Source organism: Homo sapiens, chromosome 13 (genome assembly GCF_000001405.40).
Source record: "Homo sapiens chromosome 13, GRCh38.p14 Primary Assembly".
Classification (NCBI taxonomy): Eukaryota; Metazoa; Chordata; class Mammalia; order Primates; family Hominidae; genus Homo; species Homo sapiens.
The window spans coordinates 23,179,140-23,204,283 of NC_000013.11; the positions used below are offsets into that span (position 1 = coordinate 23,179,140).

General features: G+C 40.6%; 1 protein-coding gene across 5 annotated transcripts in view; it reads left to right on the forward strand.

The window, feature by feature from the left end:
• SGCG (sarcoglycan gamma) overlaps window positions 1-25,144 on the forward strand; it is a 164,655-nt gene that overhangs the window by 18,632 nt on the left and 120,879 nt on the right. The window contains exons 1-3 of one of the 5 annotated variants that reach the window (NM_001378245.1): window positions 1,797-1,844; window positions 12,108-12,258; window positions 24,556-24,750. The exons of 1 other annotated variant lie outside the window; for it this stretch is intronic. In NM_001378245.1, coding sequence (NP_001365174.1) covers window positions 24,556-24,750 — 195 coding nt within the window. In that variant the 5' untranslated portion in view covers window positions 1,797-1,844; window positions 12,108-12,258. Of the gene's footprint in view, window positions 1-1,796; window positions 1,937-12,107; window positions 12,259-24,555; window positions 24,751-25,144 lie in introns of those variants that run through there. 3 more of the 5 variants (NM_001378246.1, NM_000231.3, NM_001378244.1) reach the window with 3 other exon arrangements.

Consider the following 25,144-nt stretch of genomic DNA (forward strand, 5'->3'; position numbering starts at 1 on the left):
GGTCTCTTGGAGCTTTAAAGTATTATGATTCCTTTGAGAACATTTCAAAATGTGTGTGTGTGAGTTACAAACTTAAGCTGCCTACATTACAAACTGAAGGTCTTGCTTTAATAATTTCAACTAACTGATAAAATCAAAGGCTTCTTTATGTGATTCTTCTGCCCTACTAAACATAGGTGTGGATAGTATTAAATGAATCTGTAAATATGAGTGGGGATCAAACACATCACCTGACTAACATTTTTACAAAGCAGTTCCCAAAACACTGAAAAGTTCATTGCAACAAAACCAATTTACGATTGATGAAGAGGTATCTCAATTGTAACCTTTACATGCATGACATTTCAATCAGAATATTGAGTTAGCAGTTTCAGACTTTGACTTTTCAGACATACACTCATACAAAAATACATTTCATATCATTATTGTTTAATATATTATTTTTGTTTAAAATTGATAGTTGTCCTATAATTTTATGTCTAGCTGAATTCCCAAAGTAGAAGTACTAATGTGCAGAGAATTCATGAAAGGTTTTAAAATGTCTTACAAATGTAAGATTATTTGAAGCTGTATCAGCTTGTAATTTAAGGCCTGCAGCTGCTGGTATGATAGAAGTATCAAATTTCAAAAGAAATTATGGTAGAGTATAAATAAGCAGAATGAAGAGAAAAGTCTCCTGAGAAGAAAATAAAATGAGAATGAAGCATATGCATTGTTATTGCATTGCTCCTTTTTTTCTTCATTTTTTATTTCAGGTTCGAGGGGTACATGTGCAGGTTTGTTACACAGATAAATTGCATATCACCAGGATTTGATGTACAAATAATTTCATCGCCCAGGTAGTAAGCCCAGTACCCGATAGACAGTTTTCCGAACCCCACCTTTCTCCCTCCCTCCTTCCTCAAGCAGGCCCCAGTATCTGATTGTTCCCATCTCTGTGTGCATGTATACTAAGGCACTGCTTCTTATATTCAAGGTTTAGTACTAAAATGCAAATATGAAGTATATAATTTAGTAAGTTTTAATCCTGCTGCAAACCAGGTCACATAAAAATAATGCAAAATAAAATATTAAAATTATTCAGAAGTTCGATATTTATTCTGTTGTCTTTACACCTTATAAAATGGAATGACCTAATTACTCTTAAATAAACATAAAGACAATTTAAGGTCACATTTGTTACATTCACATAATTTGTTAAACACAATAGAAATGTTAGTTTACTAGAAAAGAACTGTCATAATTTTAACATGCAGAGTTTGTTTACCTTCTATTATGGTGATCTTTGTTTAAGATTTTCTCCTCAGATGTTAAAAGTTTTTCACTTAAAGAGGCTTAGGGAAAGTGATTTTTAAAGAGTCACTGTTACATGGTAATATGCCGTTCATTTGGATGAGACTAGTATATAGGTAATAGTCACAAGTTCTAACTTGCATGTTAATTTGAAGAGATTTTTCGTAAAATTTTATCAACATTAGTTTCTAATGGAAACCAGTCTTAGAAGTTTTCTGCTGTTTGTTTGAGGTAAAGTTTTTTTAAGAAAGTTATAATTACATTAAACTATCATGCTTTAGGGTTTAAATGTTGGAAAGTTGGTTTTGTAAGAAGAAGAGTTTGGTTTCTTGTTTGTTTGTTTGTTTTGGTTTGTTTTTGGCATGCGAAGAGCTGTGTCCTGGAATTGGTGCCCAAAAAATTTTAAGTGTGGTATGAACTGTTTATGTCACTGAGTAAAATTAGACACGTCTGTTGCTAATGTGAGGGGATGAAACATGAGACAGGGCGAAACTCGTGAGAGCCCTTTCTCCAGGGACAGTTGCTGAAGCTTCATCCTTTGCTCTCATTCTGTAAGTCATAGAAAAGTTTGAAACATTCTGTCTGTGGTAGAGCTCGGGCCAGCTGTAGTTCATTCGCCAGTGTGCTTTTCTTAATATCTAAGGTAAGTGCTCAGTTTTAACTTAGATTTTATATCAGTACAAAGTACTACCTAAAAACCAAACGCTTAAGAGGTTTCTTAATATTCTTTCTTCTTTGGTGGCATAATAATAAATTTAAAATAATGTTGAATAAATTGGTGTATCACAACATAATGACATATCAAGTATCAATGAAATTCTCATTTCAACTAAGTTATTCTGACTACAAATATGCTACATATTTTTAGCATAATCCTATATTTCTAACATTTTTAATTTGTAGAATGCCAAAGGTAGCATTTCTGTATTATTGGGCATTGAATTGGATCCTGTAGTTAATTTAAACAAAGTATTATCTTTAAGATCACCTACTTCTAATTCTGCTCTTAAACTTTAGTGGTAGAATTACATTTGCTTTAGATTTTCTTGATAGTTTTGTTATAGACACTAAGAAATAAACTAAAATGAATGACAACAAAAGTCCAGTGGTTTTATAAGTTGGAAATAAACAAAACAAGAGCAAAATAGCAACCTGACTCCTTCACTATTTTTGGAGTGAAAAGGGAAGAATGTTTCTTTCCCTAAATCTGGAAAATATAAAATACTGCTCAAAATATGTATGAAAAAATAAACATAAGTGGGGTAAAAGTACACATGTGCTAATGCTTCAGCTTACTGAAGTTATGAGTTCTTTCTTTGCGTTTTCTAAATTAATACATGACAACTAGCAAACACAATTTTTTTAAAGGAAGGATTAGAAAAAAATAATACGGAAAAATATAACTCAGCTGACTGAAAGATTTGCCAGCAGACCAGTACAAAAACGAACTACGGAATACACCGTTTGTTTTTTGCTTATTTTCTTGCAAACATTTTGTAGGTACAAAAAGGCACCTTTGTGGAATTTAAAAAGTAATGCTACAAGTTGGGGTTCGTTTTATAGGTTCTAGGATTCATTTCAGATTGTCTTTCAAAGACAAATGAAAAGTAGCATTTCAATGTAGTTAGATATAGCATTCCAAAGACTAACAAATTCAGGTGTCCAAAAGATATCAGCTAAGCTTGCAGTTAAAATGCGGAAAATGAAATTGTTCCATATTGTCCTTTAAAAAATGTACTTGCTAGTCATTAAACTAAGTTGTTATTAAATTGCATTAAAAATTAAATGATAGTTGTAAATTATAGTGGGTTCCCAATGTGTTCAGTTTTGCATAACTTATAGGGCCTGAGGATCTCCCTCCACTCCCTAATCTGTGGCTCATCACAGCGCTTGTGTCTTCTCAGCTTGAGGCACCAGGGCTGTGGTTTCCCAGTGGGAGGGGAGAAACTACAGCGTCCTGAGGATGACTCTGCTACTCTCCTGCTCCTTCAGAACCCACCTTGACCTTCATGACACCTTCCTGTCTCTCCCTCCCTCCCTCCCCTTCTCTCAGCCTCTATAGCACCTGTCTGGCTTTATTCTTCTCCAGACCTACTGCAGGGCCAGATAGTTCTACGACGTTCTCATGAGGATTGCAGGATCCATCACTTGCTACTTTGGCCATTTTGGATTCCAGCTTCATTTTTAATTTTATATGTTATGCTGTAGATAGTTTTATGGGAACACTGGTACAGGAGTATTTAGTAATTTGTGAATGGTAAAGGTCTCAAGACTTTTCTCAGAACCTGTGAAAATCTCACTGCCTGCTCGACTTCAGTATGACTGGTGGGTAGGACCACTGAGGAATGGGGACAGGAGGGCTTGCTGTGCCCAAAGGCGTTTGTGCTTCATCCTAAGCACCAGTGAGACCTTTGAACCTCTAGAAAAGGAGAGCAGCCCAGTCACATGGGTGCTTTGGAAGGATCACTGCAGTTGACATGGAGAATGGATTAAGGGCAGTGGAGGCGGCAGTGAAGAGTACCTTAAAACCTAGCTTCACCTTCGTGACTTCTTTAACTCTGTTTTTAAAATGCTCAATTAATTTTACTTGAGAAACATCTCTGGAAAGTCTAACATCAATGAAGAGGCTATGATTAAAAGTTTAGGCTATGGAGCCAGACTGCCATTTGACCTTGTGTGAATTACTTAATTTCTATGTCTCAGTTTCTTCATTTGTAAGGTGAGAGGAGTTGCATTGTAGCAGCTACCATTTTAACAAGTATCAAATTTAGTCTATATAAGGCAATTAGAAAGTTTCTGACTTCTTAGTAAATAGTAGCTTCCATCGGCATCACCCATCAATGCACCCTCTTATCCTGACCCCACACTGCGGGGAAGTCAGGAAGACCTCGGGAAAATGACGGTAACTGGTCAGGAACTTGAACCTGCTTCTCACAGTCCCCTAAGAAGGCGTACCAGAAAGGAGCCCTAAGCAGGCAGGAGACTCCAGGCTGAGGCTATTTCTGCTGTTTCTGTGGAGAACGTTCTCTGCACGCAGCCATGGCTGCTCAGAAGGGGTGTGTGCATTCCAGGATACAAATAGCCCTCCTGGCATTCCTGGTGGCTGCCTGCCTATCCCTAGTGGTAAGGTCTATGAAGGAAAGAAAGGCAAGTGACTGTTTACCTTTCCCATGAAAATCTTCCTTTTCTTCAACATTTTTGATTGTAACGAAAACTTTATATAAAATATTCTCCCTTTATTTTTATTTTTTTTTGAGACAGAGTCTCGCTCTATCGCCCAGGCTGGAGTGCAGTGGCATGATCTCGGCTCACTGCAAACTCACCTCCCGGGTTCAAGTGATTCTTCTGCCTCAGCCTCCCTAGTAGCTGGGATTACAGGCATATGCCACCATGCCCAGCTAATTTTTGTATTTTTAGTAGAGACGGAGTTTCACCATGTTAGTCAGGATGGTCTCGATCTGCTGACCTCGTGATCCACCCGCCTCGGCCTCCCAAAGTGCTGGGATTACAGGCATGAGCCACCATGCCCAGCCTACATAAAATACTCTAAAATGTTAATCTTGGTGAAACAATATAAGTGTGTTGTCTCCATACTGGAATGCATTTGAATGTTTGTATTTTGGCAACATTTGAAAGTCACTTTAAATCATCCCATTCATATCTCAAAGCAAAGGTGATAATAAGGAAGTGAATAAATGGCCCTGAGGCCATCTGAAACTTTTTAAATGAACTGCCAGGCCATAGGAAAAACACATATATACCACGTTTGATAAAAAACTTAAGTGTACCTCAAGAATTTCTTTACGCATTTAGAAGCACAGTATAGTTGATACATTGAAATAACTTCCTTTTCTTAAAATTTTAATTTAATATTGTGTGAATGTTTTTCAGAGTTAGAATTTAGTTATACACAATTTTTAGGGACTAGGCAAATTGAAGGTTTTTTTTTTTTCTAGAGGGGGCAGTGATAGTTGATTTGCTTAAAAATTTTAGGCTTAGTATAAAAATCAAAATACTTATAAAATAGATTACAGGCTACTTTATTTGCTGTTTGGTTAAACACAAACTTCATGTGTAATTTTAATTTAAGAATATTCTAAACTCTGTTCTCCTTTGTAAATAACAGCAAATTTAAGAGTCATGTCTATACAGGATAAATGGTACTGCAATGTAGGCTGGTCCCCTTCACAGGGCTAGTACATAATGAACTGGTTTCTGGATGGCCAGTAAGGGGGTCTTTTTAATTCTCTCTCTCTCCCTGTCTCACTTCTCTAAGAAGTGTCCTTGGCCTCAGCCCACACCTTGCCCATCTTCCTCTCCTAACCTAGCCGGCTTCCCTCATTGCCTGGTGCCTTCCTCTTGAGAGCATTCCCTTAATACAACACCTGAACAAGAATCCGCATCTCAGGCTGCTTCCAGGGAACCTGATGTGAGATAGTGTCAACCTAAATAACAAGCGAGCTCCCAAAGAAAAGATGTTCATTTGTGAATAGAGCATTGCAGTGGGACTATGAGGATTACATAATTGTTCTGAAATTATTATCCTTGGCTACAGAGATCAATAACAAGAGTAACACCAGTATGAGATTGTAGGCAGATGTCCTCGCAGAAGTGTTTAAGGTTGTGGTTTTTGCAATCTTTTGTGATAATTTTTGTTATCAGCATACAAGCATAAAAAATTTTTCTTTATGGCCTTCCCTGGTTCTGTTTGTCAGAGTTTTCTTAACATTAGTGATCCTGACAACTTTCACATAGATAAAGTTGAATGGTATTCTGAGAATTCCATCAGCATACCTGATCACAGGCTGGAGTGCAATGGTGCGATCTTGGCTCACTACACCCTCCGCCTTCTGGGTTCAAGCAGTTCTCCTGCCTCAGTCTCCAGAGTAGCTGAGACTACAGGCACCTGCCACCATGCCTGGCTTATTTTTGTATTTTTAGTAGAGACAGGGTTTCGTCATGTTGGCCAGAATGGTCTCGATCTCCTGACCTCGTGATCTGCTCGCCTTGGCCTCCTAAAGTGCTGGGATTACAGGCGTGAGCCACTGCATCCGGTCCCCGATCACTTTTAAATTCCAATTTTTCCAACAGCAATTGCTTCGACAGGTTCCCTGGGAAACAGACTCCAAGCTGGAGATATGCGTGCCATGTATTGGAACCCATCTTGAAAAAAAGAAAAAAAATCCCTGTAGGACAGCAAAGGCGGCAAAGTGGGCAGAAGGAGATGTCAAATAGTACTGTAGCTGCCACAGAGCTGGAGGCCTGCAGGGCTGTTCCCAAATCCAGAGAGGGGCCGGGCTTTCACCCAGTGCACTGATAAAACGTTGGAGTGTGCCTCTCATGGGGAAACACAGCCATGGGCGAGGCAGCTTAGTGCATTCTGAAGTCATTCTCGTCATCAGCCATCACTTCCACAACTGAAGGAAGGAGTGTCTTGGTTCTGAAGGGTGATGGGCGTGACATAGCACGAGTCCACCCCTCGCATCACTCAGATCCTCTTGCTTTGTTTACCTAATTTGGGAACAGCTCCTCCAAGGGTTTGATTGATCTCTTTTCCTGGGGGAACACTGAGGGAATATTAATGGCAGGAACTAGAGCCTCCCCTTATGCAGATGGTCTCATGACTACAGCTGATACTTACCCATCCTTTTTCCCTCCCACCGCCTTCACCTACCCATTCAGCATTTGCTTCATTCTCATCTAACACCCTGGCTGGTCTGAGTAGCCTTGGGGTGACCCTGACATTCAACTCTGAAGGGTCTTAGCCTTGGTCACCAACCCCTAACCAGTCCCAATGCACTTGTGGTTCACACATGGCTGAGCATTTGCTCTCAAAATGGCCAGAGGAATACCAGCAAATGCCTTGCTGGTCCGCCTGGGTGACAAACATATTCTTCCCAGACAATTCTTGTCAGAATGGTGCATCGTGTCCTCACCAGTGGTATCCAGCCTGAGGAGGTGAAGCGATTGCAGCAGCTTGAAGATGACTGGGACTCACATTGTGTCCTCTGGTAGAAGCACTCCCTGCTGGGAGCAGACTTCCAGATCCACAGAGCCCATGGTAATGGGGATGGGAGGCACATACTTCCCAGCTGGCAAACATGACCACTTCTACGCTCACCATTGGTTTCCAGAGGGATATATCCTATCCACTGGGGATGGAGCGCCATAATGGTCATTGATTTTGGATGTACAGAACTGCATTCTGAAGTATCCCCCATCCTCACAGGGGATCGGGGGCCTCAACGGCAGCTTTAAAAGATTGTTCTATCACCCTGTCAGGCCAGCAGCTGCTGGGAAATACAGAAAGTGGCAAGAACAGGGGATCCCGGGCTCATGTACCTAGCGCCCCTCTGCCTTTGCCATAAGGTGGGTCATTTGGCTTGTTGGCATCTCCTATGGGATTCCACATCAGTGGATCACACATTCTGTAAGTTCTTGGATAGTGATGCTGGCCAAGGCCCTGCAGGTAGAAAAGAAAAATCCACCCCAGCCTACCTGTTAGTTCCCCTCAAGATGATGTAACCCCCTGGCCACCGAGTGGCTGCTTGGTCTTATTGAGGGATGCTGCTGTATCCAGGTTCAGCATCAGTGTCTGCTGTGGACAGTTTAGACATTCAGCAGGGGCAGTGGCTGGATCAGCCTTGCCAAGAGGAGGCCTAGCTACTGGGCCCATGCATGGCCTCCCTCCCTGCCACCATTCTGGGCTGCTCTGTATATGACCCCATTGTGGGAGCCCTGGAGTGGATGGTGATGGGCCAGCTGTGTCAACTGGGTGAGCCACTCTCGCTATGGTGCCCCTTCTACAGTGGACGGCTTGGAGGCTGTTAACGTGGTAAAAGATCTTCCTCCTTGATGCCCAATAGGTCCATCCACAAGCCTCTTCCTCAGACTTCTCTGTCCTCCCTATTCCAAACTCTCCCCTTCCACCCAAGCCATTCACCACCATCCATGAGACCATGTATAGTCTAACCTCAGCCTCAGGTGATTTCTGTTTCCACAGGAAGTGGATACACAGGTGCGCTGCCTGTAGCTTTGTCAGCGAGGAGGTTTTCTCTCACCACAATCTTTCAGGGCCACCCATTGCAGTGTGGCAGCCGGCCTTCTGTGGATTGCACCCACAGAGGCCTACCAAATGTGGCCCGTTTCCTCCCTGGAAGGCTGGCCATAAGGGTCACCCCTGTGTGGCCAGGAGAGGTGCATTAGTGGTGGGTGACCGGGACTCTGGGTCCCTCGCACATGTTCCCTCTGCCTGCCTCATCCCTGGTGCCCCACTTCTGACTTAACAGTGATTGCTGCTGGCTCCTGACCTGAGGCCTTGGTGCATCTCACAGAGCTCAGGTCATGATGTGAAATTCTGTGCATGGGATTATGCTGTCCCATGACCAGGTGCTCTGTCTTCCACCAACACCCAGTAGCACTCGGAGAAGTGTTTTACAAATGGCATATATTTCTCTGCTGCAGATGGCATGGCCTGATTCCAAACTCCTGGAGGCCTATGCTGTGATTCTTCCACTGCAGCTTGCCATAAATGCCACATTACCTTCTTTCCATCAAGGATGCATCTAACCCCACAGGGGCACCAGCAGGTCCAGCCTGCAGTATGTGCAGCCCTGATGCAGAGCCCTGTTCTGGCCACACTAAAGCTGTCATTCTGTAAATGGGTTAATTTTTCCAAGGCCAGAACCTGAAGTGGTCTAGGAGGCATCATTTTTCCTTTACAGTGGTGGTAAGTGCAAGATACAATAATTAATTCTTTACTTTGCAGGGGATTTCCCTGCATGCCCTAGAACACTAGATCCTAAAAACCACTAAGTTGGCAGGTTCAGATCTTGGTAGGATTTCTCTCTCACCGTCTGAACACATCTTTTACTAAGGCTTTTTTTTTTTTTTTTTTTTTTTTTTTTTTTGAGATAAGAGTCTTGCTCTGTCACCCAGTCTGGAGTGCAATGGAGCGATCTCGGCTCACTGCAATCTCCACCTCCCAGGTTCAAGCTATTCTCCTGCCTCAGTCTCTGGAGTAGTTGGGATTACAGGCGCCTGCCTAATTTTTTTTTTTTTTTTTTTTTTGGGACAGGTATTCACCATGTTGGTCAGGCTGGTCATGAATTCCTGACCTCAAGCAATCCGCCTGCCTCTGCCTCCCAAAATGCTGGGATTATAGGTGTGAGCCACCATGCCCAGCCTAAGAAGGCTTTTAACATATTTGTCGCATTCACTCATCTAGTCCGGTCCACATGGTATCATGAAGTTAGTGGACAAATGCTGTTCTGAGAATGTCCAAAATGGCCTAGATCCCTTCTGAGGATAGGAATGTGGCAAGTAAATACTGCAGCCTAGCTCATGGGCCTATGAAGCTCTGCAGTTCCTCTATGTGAGATAAATGGGAGGAAGATGCCTGTGCCAGTTCAATGGCACACATGCCTGGTGCCACGCCAATCTACAGGAGCAAGGATGCCTCCCCCGGCACAGCAGCTGTGCAGCTGGCTTTGAGGCAGATCACTTTCATTCTTTACGATACCTCTGGTTTTCTAGAGGCCAGATTGGTGAATTAAATGGGAATATGGTGGAGACCACTAACCTTTTGTTCTTCAAGAGAGGCACTAATCTCTGCCATTCTTCCTAGGATGTGGAGAGATGACGGGCGGTCATCCCCCGTCCTCTCACTACACAGGGACAGGAACTCCCCATGTGGCAGTTCTGCCAGCTATCAAATATTCCCTTTCCACTTACATATTTGTTGACCAGGGAAATGACCGTTTGGTGGTTCCAAACCCTCTGTCGTCCAGGCTGGAGTGCAGTGGCGCGATCTCAGCTCACTGCAACCTCCGCCTCCTGGGTTCAAACAATTTTCTGGCCTCAGCCTCCTGAGTAGCTGGGACTATAGGTGCATGCCACCACGCCTGGCTATTTTTTGTATTTTTAGTAGAGATGGGGCTTCACTGTGTTGCCCAGGCTGGTGTCGAACTCCTGAGCTCAGGGAATCCACCTGCCTTGGCCTCCAAAGTGCTGGAATTACAGGCGTGAGCCACTGCGCCTGGCCTTTTTCCTGAAATTTTTTTGGAAAATAATTTTCTTTCCCTACTTGTGTTATTTCTGTAGATATGACCAACATGTAGTCCTGTAGAATAACAATTAAAAATAGTTGAGGTAGAGATTTCATTGTTACATTATATTCATGCATTCAGTCAACAGATATTGGTAGGATTTCTGGACATGGGGACTGGCCTCAAAAAGGGCTTAACAGAGAAAACTATCACCTTGCTTTCATGGAGGTGGGGCAAATAGTATGAGAAGATAGATGCAATTTGGGAGGATGTTGAATAAGATAAGAGACAAGAGAGAAAGACTTGAACTTAAGAGTAATTTTCTTGGTTTCAGAATTAGAGAAATAGGTTAAAGCTATCAGCAGAACTGAACTCCCCTACCCTACTCCTTCACCCCCCTGCCCGCTCCTTCAGGCTCAGAGCTGCACAAAGTCTACCTTAAATAGTGGTTATGCTCAAAGGGTTGTGTCAAAGGACAACTAAATAATTACCCCTTTAGTCTCAACATAGACAACTTAGAGGTCATTGATAGTGTGATTAAATATTCTGCTATCAAACTATTTTAAAAGAATAAAAATATAAAATAAACGTTTAAGTGTTTAATAATGAGGGGAATCAATACTGAAAATAATTTTAGTATAATGGCTCTATTTAAAATATTTTTGTATGAGTATATGTGGAAAGTACATGAACATTATAGATCAATTATATAATAATTTTAGTAAATTGGTATTTGAGAGTCTTGATTGATTGATAATATTAATAATATATGGCATTATAGAGTTCTTCTGACTTGATATGAGTAACGTCTGTAGTAGTAATCTCCAGAACTTTGTCAAGATGGATGTAGTATCATCATATTCTGTAAATATATCATCTTTGAAATATTAAGATTGCCTGGATTCCAAAACCATAAATTTTATACATGCTATGCAGTAATAGCAAGCATAATGACTTCTCTATGCTAAACATTATTCTGGGAGCATTGTATTTTCCATTTGGAGCTTTGGGGATAAATTTTAAGAAAACATAGGCCTCCAGACACATATGCTACCTGCATATATTGGGGGTGCATCACAATTACAAAGTTAACTGGATTGGTTATGAAAGTTATATGTCCGGCCGTAATAAAATGGCTTTGTTTGAAATAATTATAGTAAGTGAGGCATGATAACCTTTATGAAACTTATAATTCTCATGACATTAAATTCTTGTAATTGACCCACTATATTTACAATCCACCTGTTGTGAGGAAGACAGCCAGCAGGTACAGGAGTCAGATAAACCTTAAGAAGTCAGATTCACAATTGCAAGCCTCATTCACAGCATCACAGGACTTTGAAGAGAACTATTATATCACTGACGATATTAGGAAAATGCTAATAAATGGCCCTGTAAAATCCTCGTGTGTTAAAGAGTTTTTTGAATAATTGAAAACTATATTTGGTGAAACTTTTCTGTTGATAATAACCTTCAGAAAATACTGTGCAATCAAACATGCCACATGTTTGCAGGTACTTTCTGAGTAATTTGCAAATATTTTCTGGATAACAGAACACAAAATCAACAACAGAAACTTTAAAAAATACATCTATATATATAGTCTACTAAAAAGTTACATATTAAATCAAGACATAAATCATCTTCTTCATTTGACATCGAAATCAATTTGTATATTTTAAAAGCAGAGATCAGCCATAGTAATTCCAGTTATATTTTATGAGCCAAAATAATAGCATGCCTTTAATCTGCCACTTTGTTTGGAAGTCTTATTTTCAGAAACTATGAATAAATCTTCTACACCATCTTCCCGAGAGCTTTAGTAAGACCTCAGACTGGAGTAGAGTTGAAGGAGGGAATGCCAGTCTGAAGAAGGAAAGGAAGAGGAGAGACAGCAAGGAGAACTTCAGTTGTCAAGGTATCGGGTGCAGGGGTCAGAAAGAAACATGACTCCATGGACCACTGCTTGGCCCAAGACCAGATGTCAAAACCACAGAGCCCTGCTGTAGAGCATTACAAATGTATTCCACCAAATGTTGGGATGCATCCTAGACCTGTGCTGGCCAGCAGTCCCCAGCTGTGAGGAGAAGCCCGCCATTTGAGTTGATCACTTGGCAGAGTTGATCATCATAAAATTATCCTTGTAGAGCTAAATAAGGTTTGTCTTTGACATTCAGTCTGGTTTATAGGATAGCAAAAGGGAAGTGGCCTCAGCTAGTAGATTTGAAAAGCAAAAGTAGGAATAATGCTTTTCAGATACTAATCTTCCTTCCCGATCCAACACATTCATCATATGAAGGTAGAATTTTATATGACGTCAAGCCCTAAAATACACTATTCAAAGACAGTGCTTACGGATTAACATATATGCTAGGAAACAGAGTAGCGTACTCGGACACTGAGATGTAAAAAGAGGGAAGTGTCGGCCGGGCGCGGTGGCTCACGCCTGTAATCCCAGCACTTAGGTGGGCGGATCACGAGGTCAGGAGATCGAGACCATCCTGGCTAACACGGCGAAACCCCGTCTCTACTGAAAATACAAAAAATAAGCCGGGCGTGGTGGCGGGCTCCTGTAGTCCCAGCTACTCGGGAGGCTGAGGCTGCAGAATGACGTGAACCCGGGAAGCGGAGTTTGCAGTGAGCCGAGATCGCGCCATTGCACTCCAGCCTGGGCGACAGAGTGAGACTGCGTCCCAAAAAAAAAAAAAAAAATGAAGGAAGTTTCAGCCTATGAATCATGGCATATGCATCAATCATACTATTACAGAAGTTAAAGGGTCTGGAAGTAATAATATGTAACTCTATCATTTTCTCCTTCATTCGATTCTTTTCCCAGCTGTTCATGGAGTTTCTGTTGAAGTTGGTAGGATCTTTATTTATTTTATTTTATTTATTTTGTTTTGTTTTATTTTATTTTATTTTTGAGACGGAGTCTCAGAGTCTCACTCTTGTTGCTCAGGCTGGAGTGCAATGGTGCGATCTCGGCTCACTGCAACCTCCACCTCTGGAGTTTAAATGATTCCCCTGCCTCAGCCTCCCGAGTAGCCGGGATTACAGGCGCCTGCCACCACGCCCAGCTAATTTTTTTGTATTTTTAGTAGAGACGGGGTTTCACCATGTTGGCCAGGCTGGTCTCAAACTCCTGACCTCAGGTGATCCACCTGCCTCAGCCTCCCAGAGTGCTGGGATTACAGGCGTGAGCCATGGCGCCCGGCTGGTAGGGTCTTTATTAAAGAACAGTTATGAGAGATGTATGAAGTATGAGTAAAGATAGAATAATTTAGGTCTTTAATTGTAATGCTATATCCTAAACATGGAAATCTATTTGACCAATACATTGTGGATGAGGATATACTTTATTCTGCCTTCCTTTAACAAATACGTATAACTGAGCTGTTACTATGTGCCAGACCCTACTTTAGGTGCCAGTTATATAATAAGCAAACAGACACCCTTCCTGTCTTCCTGGAGGTGAGTCTAATGAGGACCAGGCAATAAAAAGTAAACAAATAAATGCATCATTATGTCCTAAAAGGAACTTTGGAGGAAATGAACAGGACACAGTTGCAGATTGTACAGGATAAAAGGGACAAGAGCAGGTGTTTATGGAAGGCTGAGGTCAGGAGGACAGAGTGGTGGCCACGTGGTATGGACCGGTTTTCCCGGCAGTGGGAACAACGTGTCCAAAGACTATAAGATAGGAGAAAGTTTATTCCATTTGAGGGATGGAAAGGCTGGTGCTGTTGGGAAGGGCACAGTGAGGTGAGATGGAGCTGGAGAGGCTGGCTGGACCAGATGGAGTGAAGCTTCATCTGACATGCAGTGGGAAGCCACGAGTGACTTTAAACAGGGCAGCAATGGTCCTCTTGTTGGGTGCCATGTGGAGATTGGATTAAGAGAGGCAGAGTGGGTGGAGGAGACCCTGAAGAGGCTGCACCGTCAGTGTTGGAGTGGAGCAGGGGCAGTGCAGATGGGGAAGCCAGGATGAGCACAGCTGTCCTCAGGATGTGGCAGGCAGGGCTTGCTGATGAAGTAGACGTGAGGTGGCAGAGAGATTGTGATGGCACTCATGCTTCTGAGATGATCAACTGGGAATGGCCGATGCCATGGACTGAGATGGGAATAGAGAAGAGAAGGGGGGAAATTCAGGAGGTGAGGAGAAAGTTATTGAAAATTACGTTACTTTTTAACAAGTGCAGTTCGAAATACCAAGTGGAGATGTCAAACAGGCAATTATCAGATTAGAGTAGAGAGTTCAGAGATATTTTAGGTAGAAATATAAATTTGGGAACCATCAGCCTGTAAATAGTATTTAAAGACATGATAATGAATAGGATCACCTTGAAAAATTGAAGGAAGAGAAGAGATGGTCCCAGAACAGTTCAGGCAAAATCCACCATTTAGAGGCCAGAGAAAAAGAGAAGATTATGAAAGGGCCTGAGAATTAAAGTCTAGAAAGGTAGAGGGTAAAATTAGGAGAATACTGATTTTAAGAAAACAAGAAAAAAGTGTTTTCAAGGAGGAAATAGCCAACCATTTCAAATAAAATGAAGAGTGAAATAAATTTTAAAAAGTGAGGGAAATAAAATAGGAAAGTGAATATTGGATTTGGAAGCAAGGAGGTTATGTGATCCCTCTGATTGATATTAGCCAAAGCTAAATATGGCAAAATAACTTCTGGAAATACATCCTTCTATCTAAAGATTTGCCTGTTCTTTAGAAGGACCTGTTTGGTGCAGAAGGAAAATAGGTCAAAAATAGTTGCAAGCATTCCTTACCATGTTGGTAGAAGGTGTTCTTACTCCATGGTTTACCATCATAAGCCATCCTGCCTTTATGCCTCTTGCTATGTGTATTATCCAGGACTGTTTCGGGTGCAAGTGACGGAAACCCAAGTCGAAGAAGTTCAAGTGAAGATGAAACTTACTAATTTATAAAATAAATTAGACAGTGCTGAATTTAGGATCTCAAATGATGTTGTTAGGATTTCACCCCTACTCTCACACTCTCTCCCTCTTCTTTCATTCTTCCTGATTTCTTCTCTGGCAAGCTCTCTCCAAGTGGCGGAGGGATGAATGTTGGCAGTGCAGTGTTAGGTCCATTAACTTCTGATAGCAGAGGCCAGCTTCTCTCTTGGAGCATTCATATTAATTCTGGGACAACTGACACTGGCTTGCTTGTGTCCCATGACTTCCTAATGGTATTCACCATGTCTGGATTGATGACATACCCTGATTGGTCAGCATGTACCACATACACACCTGTGTTACTGGACATGTGTCCACATGACCGATAGCTGGACCACAACCGTGGGGAGCTGAGGAGTGTTCTAGGGACAGACAAGAAAACAGTAGGTGCCCACTATAACAGTATACAGAAGAAAAAAGTAGACATCGACTGTAATAGGACACAGAAGAAAACAGTAGGTGCCCACTGTAATAGGATACTGAAGTAGACACAGGGTTGCAGCTGAGCTTCCAACAGTTCCTCCATATAGTTCTTTGTTAACATTAACTCAGCTTTCATTGCAGCCAACTACTAACTTAACAATTAGCTATGTGAGCACTAAGTCAGAGATTGAGGGTAGGTATAAATCATGCCAAGAGCTAGAGGAAATTTGGTACCAAATAACAACCGGTCTTGGTTAAGAGGCTAGGTATCCATAAATGCTGGTCTTGCTCTATTGCCATTCTGTGTCTTGTTTTTGCTAACTTGTTAATGTTTCTGGATGTTGGTATTATTCTTTAGTCAAGTACTAACCTAATGACACCATAAAAGCTTTAGATTTCTGATTTCTGAGAGCATCTAATAAAAACCAGGACAGAGCAATGAGAAGAGTTTGTCTGAATTGCCTACCCGTGTAAATATAAAACTGTGTTTTAAAATGAGCCTGTAGCTGAAGTAAAAATCAAAACAAGACCAGTTTTATAAGCTAACATTTGTAGGCCTGTGGGTTTGAGCTTGTTTTTATTTTTTTTTTCCCTTTTAGTCACTTGCTCGTTTAAATAAAGGTTTTTGTTTGTTTGTTTGTTTTGTTTTTTTCTCTTTTCAGGTCTGTTAGATACTTAAAGGGCATTTATTCTGTTGGTTTGGTGTATTTTGTAGGGAACTTTTTAAAATGGCAGAGTTTGCCATTTTATTTTAAAAGTCAGTCCTATTGTAAAGAAGAGAGAATGATTTGATGATCTTTTAATCTAGATGTGTGTGTGTGTGTATAATAAGGGTATTATTATTCGAGAATTATGCTGATTATAACTTTGGATGAAATTGATAATTATGATCCATCTATTTTGCTATATTTAGTGTGCTGTGCTGAGCAATTTGACTAAAAGATAAAGGAGAACTATTCTTGAAATTATTTGGTCATCCTAAATACAGTAATGAAGTTGGGATGAGTATGGTAAATTTATTAAATTTACTGTTACAAAAGAAATATATATATCAATTCTATAAATTGAAAAAATACAAAAGAAATTTGGGAAATACTATTTTAAATGAAAAAAGGTGGATTATAGGAGGAAATTATTAATAATTTTTTAGTTTCCTTACAGTATTTTTCCTATGAGTATATATTTTAATATGTATATATTCTAAGTTTTCATTTAACATTATATCACTAGAATTTCCCTAGGTTGTTATATGTTTTTCAAACATATTTCACATACCCAAAATACTAATTTTGTAATACTATAGTAATTTGATGGATTAATTACTCTAATTTTAATCCTTCTTCATTTAATGTCCAGTTTTGCCCCAGTACAGATAATGGTAAATTAAAGATCTTTAGGCACAAATTCTAGTTTTTGTTTCTAGTTGTTTCCTTTGGGTAAGTTACTAGAATTGGAATTACTATTGTTTGTTTGATGTTCTTAATACTTAGTGCCCAATATCTTTTGGGGGGGTTATTGTTAACTTTCACTTTCTTCATCAGAGGAGCAGCATGTCTCTTTTTCAAACACCTGGCCAATATTATCTATTATCAGTTTTTAAATTTCCCTTAATCTTTGAAAACTGCTGCAGTGATGGTGTTTATTGGCATTTCTTTAATTCAGGGTGAAGCTGAACATTTTTGGTATGTTTATTCGTCACGTGTATTTCTTTGATGTATACGTGTATTCATTGCTTGAGTTTTATTGGATTTTTTTCTGTTTTTGCTTGGTTGAGATTATTTATATTTTAAGGATATTAACCTTGTCCTATCTTTAAGGCAAATACTTCTCCCAATTTATCTGCCATGGTGTTCTTTGTGCCACACATCTCCTAGGGCAGGCACCTCTCCACTCCTCCTTTCTGAAATGTTGGAGCTCTTTCAGAATGATGTAAGTTATGATGCAAACAGTAAGGCAGAAAACACACTGAGAATTACTGCCACTAATTAACGTGAGATGAGATGTTTCTTGGAAGTTTAAAGGAAAATAGAAGTAAAACCCATGCAGTCATTCCCAATACTAGCATAACATAGGCAGCCTGAATTTAACCATCCCACTAGCTTGCTCCTTCCCTGCCAGCTCACCTCCTGGAAGAGCAACTTGTATAGACTGGATGCCTCTTAGTTCTCACTTTTCATTGCCTTATTATGATCTGTGTGTATGGGCTTGTTTCTAGACTCTCCATTTTCTTTTACTTGTGAATTATCTGTCACTAGCTCATTTTTTTTTGTTACTGTAGCACAAAGCTGTATCATCACAACCTGTAGGGTAAGTCCCACTCCTTATGCATTCGTGTGTTCAACAAGCACTTACTGATTGCCTATTATGTGCACATAACTGATACTGGTCACGGTCACCTAGTCACATCGTTGTAATTGACTTCTCACGTGGGTTACCTTGTCATTTGGAGGGACGATGCACCATGATGGTGCTTGTTACCTAGTAAGAAATTATCTATCTGGATATTAGAGCTAGGTGACATGGCTTATGAAAGACAGTTTTTGAAACTGTGGAAAGTAATTTTTCAGGAGTTTTCAGATTGACATCATAAGTGCTATAAGAGGTTTGCTAAGCCCTCAGTCAGCAAGCCCTGTGAACGGAAAGGACCTTACCCAAGGCAGGTAGAATGCCATCGCTAACACTCAGGTGAATCTCCCATGAAGATTAGAAAGATGGCTTACTCTCTTATCTGACAGATTGCATACAGCTGCAAAGAGAATTAGTATATTGGAAGGTAGATCTTAGAAAACACCACAGAGTGATAAATCTGTGGAAATATAAAGCTAAGTTTAAAAAACATGACTGGTGAATGAGGAGGTCTAAATATATCTTAATTGAAGCCCCAGTGGAAGTAACCGGAGAAAATATAGGAAAGACAATGGTTAAATAAGCAATTGCCAAGAGTTTTCTATAACTGAAGACAAGTTCAATTGAAAACAGACACTGACTCATGAACAGAATAAATTAATTCAAATTTATGAAATGAAATCATTCTGAATCTGGAAAACACTAAAAGTAAAGAAACTTTTAAAAGTCCCAATGGAAAAAAAAAGACGTAACACTGAAAAAAGCTTTGTAGATACGTGTTGAATGAACTGTTGAAAGCAAAGTGGTGGAAATTTGTACCAGAAAAACATTGAAACCAAAAGTGGCATACCAAAGTCAGTATCAGACAGATAACTTCGAACTATTATAACTCATTCTTTGAGTTCTTAGATAGAATTAAATGTCATTTCTAAAAGGTCTGTTTTGTTCTTTCTCAAACTCACCTTTTCAAAAATCATATGATATTAACTCATTTTGGGCATTATCCTTGCATTTATCATCTTTGTGTCTCAGACTCTTGATAATGGCCTACCCAAACTAGGCATGACAATAAATGTTGGTTGAAATGAAGAATATCATGAAGACACTATGTTCGATTCACTATATTATATGCTATGACAATAATCACATAATGTAGAAGACAGATTATCTGTCCTTAAGGTCATTTTGTTTTAAATAACAAACTGGGGATCATGAATTCAGAAGCATATGAAAGCAGATATTTACACCAAAACAAGTATAGTGCTTCACATCTGGAGCCCTATCCATTAAAGGATTGAAAACTATACCTGAGAGATGCATTGAAAAGCAATCAAAATTAAATATAGCATGGCCGGGCGCGGTGGCTCATACCTATAATCCCAGCACTTTGGGAGGCTGAGGTAGGCAGATCACGAGATCAGGAGATCAAGAGCATCCTGGCTAACATGGTGAAACCCAGTCTCTATTAAAAATATAAAAAATTAGCTGGATGTGGTGGCGCACACCTGTAATCCCAGCTACTCAGGAGGCTGAGGCAGGAGAATCGCTTGAACCCGGGAGGTGGAGGTTGTAGTGAGTCGTGATTGTGCCACTGCACTCCAGCCTGGGCAACAAAGCGAGACTCCATCTCAAAAAAAAAAAAAAAAAATTTGGGAGGCCGAGGCAGGCGGATCACGAGGTCAGGAGATCGAGACCATCCTGGCTAACATGGTGAAACCCCGTCTCTACTAAAAATACAAAAAATTAGCGGGGCGTGGTGGCGGGTGCCTGTAGTCCCAGCTACTCAGGAGGCTGAGGCAGGAGAATGACGGGGACCTGGAAAGCAGAGGTTGCAGTGAGCCGAGATCGTGCCACTGCACTTCAGCCTGGGCAACACAGTGAGACTCCGTCTCAAAAAAAAAAAAAAATTAAATATAGCACCAACATACTTTGAAGGATGGTTAGCAGGAGAAATAATGTAATTTTTAATGACAAAATTTGTTTTAATGAACAAGTCTATGAAAATAAATTTTGTTCATGATACATTAAAAATTAGAATTATTTATCTTGGAATATAGATTTTAAGTTCTAATATACTTATTTCACTAATTATGTTTTGTAAAGGGTTTATAAGAAGACCACAAAGTGCTGTGTGTTATTCCAATGCAATTTCTTGCTGACATGAATACCACTAATGCAGTTGCCTGACCTCCAAGTGCTGAAGCATTGATATTCTTCTCAAGCCTAATTTGAGTAAATACCTAAAGGAAGCTGGTTAAACCAGATAGCCTCTGAAAGTCTCTCCTGGCAAAAATTTAATATAGTGTCTAATAAAAATGAAAGCCACTTGTGAGTTGTGAGAAATATAAACAAATCAACTTTTTAGAGAAATATTTAAATTGAGTGTTTCACCTAGTGATTTAACTCATGCTTATCTAGAGTAAAAGGACTTTTTTATGCAATGCAGTGAACACTGGTAGATGGCACTTTCAAAACATTAAAGAAGGCTGTCATAAAACGATATAAAAAGAATTACAGCTGGCAAACTTAAAAAAAACAAAGATTGGTAAATACAGCTCAAATATGGGAGGACTAGAAAGCAGGTCACCAGCTTCCGAAAAGCAGTGTGTGGTCAGTATTTTCTTCCAGGGATGTGGGGTCCAGCTTCTTACTCAAGCTGTCAGCAGGGCAGGTGGGCAGATGTGGGGGGACTCAAGAGCCAAAGACAGCACATTCCCCAGGCTCCCCATTTTTGGGCAAGCCTCACCAGACTGAAGGAGATCTTGCTGAGTCTTCTTCTGAGTCCTAAACAACTAATCACACTAAACGTACTCTGTTTATGCACAGGCTTCAAATTAACTCATTATAAAAAGTTGAGGAAATTCTGAAGTAACACTCAACCTATTTTATTGCTTGTTGTACGCTTAAATAAAAAATGTCTGGGTTGGCCGGGCGTGGTGGTGCATGCCTGTAATCCCAGCACTTTGGGAGGCCGAAGCGAGTGGATTACCTGAGGTCAGGAGTTCAAGACCAGCCTGGCCAACATGGTGAAACCCCGTCTCTACTAAAAATACAAAAATTAGCTGGGCGTGGTGGCATGTGCCTGTAATCCCAGCTGCTTGGGAGACCGAGGCAGGAGACTCACTTGAAACCCTGGAGGCGGAGGTTGCAGTGAGCTGAGATCACGCCACTGCAGTCCAGCCTGGCAACAGAGCAAGAATCTGTTTCAAAAAACAAACAAACAAACAAAAAAACTGGGAATTTTTCCTTTCAACATTTGTATGTAGTTAATTCAGCAAATGTTTATTAAGCACATACTACATGCTGGCTGCTGCTCTAGGGGCCGAGGGTAAAACAAAATAACAAAATAGTTGAAAACCTCACCCTCTCAGGGCTTATAGGTGGAGGGTGAGCATTTACAATAAAATATGTAGGTAAAATATGTAGTATGCCTGGGGAGTTAAGTGCTACAGAAGAAAAAATGTCAGAGGAGCATGGGGAGCTCTGTGGTGGTGTTGGTGGGGCCTGTTACTGAAATAGGAATGATCAGGAAGATCGTTGATAAGCGATCTTTGCACAGAGAGTTGAGGGGAGCCATGCAGGCATCGGGAGACCTTCCAGGTAGTGGGAATTATAACTGTGGAGTCCCTGAGGTGGGGTCACACTTGGGGGACTCCTGGCCGAGTAAGACCACTGTTCCTGGAGCAGGAGGAGTCAGGGCGAGAGGGACTGGATGAAGGCAGAGAACCATGTCCGTCGGGGTGAGAAGTTTGGTTTTTACTCTGAGTGAAATGGGAAGCCACGGGAAGGTTTGTTGCAGAGGTGGGGCATGAGCCGATGCATGTTTTGAAAGGACCACTCCAGCCTCGATGTTAGAAATGGACTGTAGGAGATTTAGAGCCACAGGCAGGGGGATAGTCAGGTGGCTGTTGCAGTGACCCAGGTGAAAGACGATGGCAGAGGTGCTGATTAGGGGACCTAAGAGCTGGCCTCATAACAGGATTGCTGTCAGCTCTCCAGCAAACCACGATAAAATTGTCTTAAATGGATACTGAAGTTTTCTCAGTGTTATGTAAGGGTGAACAAAAGCATTATCTAGTAGACAGAATAATGGCCCCCACAGACATTCGTGTTCTAATAACCCCTGGAACCTGTGAAGAGGTCACCTTACGTGGAAGAGGAGGCTCTGCAGGTGTGGTTATGCCCAGGCTCTCGAAAGGGAAAGACCATCCTGGGTAATCCGGGCAAGCCCAGTGTTATCACGGGGGTCCCTGTGAGGGGCAGACAGAGGCATCGGAGCCAGAGGAGGGTGTGTGATGATGGAAGCAGAGGCTCGAGCAAGGAACGTGGGCAGCTTCTAGAAGCTGGAAAAGGCAAGCAACGTCTCCCCTCCACCCTCCAGAAAAACACAGCCTTGCCCACGCTTTCATTAAGACCTATTTTTTGACCTCCACAACTATAAGATAAAATTGTGTTAAGCCACTAGGTTTCTGATAATTTGCTACAGCAACAATAGGAAACTATATATATAGGACTGGGAATATGTAGAAATAGAAATATACTCACATGTGTTCTTAGAAAACTTTGCTAGTTGTATTCACCTGTAGCAATATTGTAAGTCTGTGCTTGCTTTTGGTTCAGACTCCCTGGCCACCCTTCCCCATCCAATTGCACTCTCCTAGTCTGTCCTTTATAGGAATTCTGGAGCCATTATTTCAAATGATAAGCACTTTGGAATCAATATAATAGAGGGAAGAGGTTGAGAGTGACTGCGTGTCCAGAGAGGGAGGCTGCTTTGAGGAGATGGCATGTGTGCTGCTACTGAAAGATGAGCAGGACCAGCAGGGGCAGACCAAGTCCAGGACAAAGGTCCTGGGGTGAGAATTAGCCTGGTCTGTTGAAGAGTATCTACTCTTTGCTTCAGTCTTGTGAGCAAAGGACACAGTGGTAGTAGATGAAGCCAAAGACATCAGCGAAGTCCGGCTCATATAGGGTCTTGTGGGTGATAGAGGCGTTTGGACATTGTCACTGTGGCGAAAAGCCATCAGAAGGTTTGGAAAAATAGAGTGACAGGAGCTTACTGACATTTTACACATTGACTGCTGGGTGGGGAATGGTTTTCAAGAAGGGAAAGAATGAAAGTGGACTTTTCAGCAGTGTAGTTACGAGCATTCAGAGTAACCTAAACTAGTGTGGTAGCAATGGAAATGTAGAGATGTAGACAGATTTCAGATATATATGGAAGGTAGAATTGATAGGACTTGCTGATATGGGGCTTGAGGGAAGAGAGAACCATCAGGAATACATCTGGTAGTTTGGTTCGAGCCACTGGCTCTAATATAAGGAAGACTGGAGGAGTTCAAAGAAATGAGTCAATGAATAATGTGCTTACGAAATCATTAAACATTTAGGGGTTGAATAATGTTGGCTGTCAGTCCTGGATATTTGAAAATACTGTGTGATGAATAGCCTCATTGTAGATAATCAGAATATGTGAAAACGCCTATTGTTAAATTGGAAGGAGATTTAAAGATTTGTTTTAGACCATAACTTATTTTTAATAAGGACAACTCCAAATCACCCCTAAAAATAAATGTGTGACTTTTGCACAAAAAATCCCAGAGAAGAGTATTTATATTCTGATTCATCTTTTTACTACATTTACAATCAGGAAAGTCATAATCTCCAATTTTAGCTTCATAGCTAAAAAGTACTTCTGTTATTTGTATAAAGGGAAAAATGAATAATTTTTTAAGTTTTCTTTTTTTCTTTTTCTTTTTTTTGAGATGGAGTCTCACTCTGTCTTCCAGACTGGAGTGCAGTGGCGCGATCTCTGCTCACTGCAACCTCCATCTACTGGGTTCAAGCGATTCTCCTGCCTCAGTCTCCTGAATAGTTGGGACTACAGGCGCCTGCCACCATGCCTGGCTAATTTTTTGTATTTTTAGTAGAGACGGGGTGTCACCATGTTAGCCAGGATGGTCTCGATCTCCTGACCTCGTGATCCGCCCACCTCAGCCTCCCAAAGTGCTGGAATTACAGGCGTGAGCCACTGCGCCTGGCTGCGGATTCCTTTTTAAATTTACACATACCAGTTTGATTTTCCTCCCAATTAACCTTTGTAGAACTCGGTAACTTGATTATTTTAGGTTAATGTTTCAATTCCAAGTTTAACCCTGAAGAATTCTGATAGATAGATACAGAGAATTTATTAACATCTGAATTTATTAACATTTGAAAATATGGTCACTAGATTTCAAACGTTTATCATATATAAAATATTTTAAATGGCAGATTAAATATCTCCCTGTGATTGAAACACAGTGACATGTTTCAAAATAATATTTAATTATCTTTTTAAAAATCATTAATTTTGGAAATCTATGACTGGGATGAAAAATATGTTTTCAGGCTCATAGTAAATCAGTATTAAACAAGTTGCCTCCCTCATTCCCTCTCTGTCTCTTTCTCTCTCCTCTCGTGAACACACTCCGTGGCAGATGGTGCGTGAGCAGTACACTACAGCCACAGAAGGCATCTGCATAGAGAGGCCAGAGAATCAGTATGTCTACAAAATTGGCATTTATGGCTGGAGAAAGCGCTGTCTCTACTTGTTTGTTCTTCTTTTACTCATCATCCTCGTTGTGAATTTAGCTCTTACAATTTGGATTCTTAAAGTGATGTGGTTTTCTCCAGTAAGTATCATTATTTTCTGGTAAGCATGTTCTTGTTTTGTTCACTGTATCACTTAGTCTGTATTGTATTGATAGGAGTTTCCTTTTGTAATTAACATTCATTTCTTTGCTGTCTGGCTCTGAATTTCAGGAGCAAAATATGTATGTAGCATTTACGTTTTTCCCTTTTCCTTAAACCTCATTGTGAACTATAGTGTGTTGGTTTTGTGTTTTTGCTGTAATTTTTTTCATTAGTCATCTCGAAATAGTGGGAATATTGTAATAGTCTTTAGTTTGTGGTTGATTGAGTCAGGATTATTTGCTGATTATTTAATTCAGTTTGTAAAATGGTATAAATCATTTTCTTAATTTCATTAATTCATAAATATTTAAATGACACTCATTTAAAAACTTT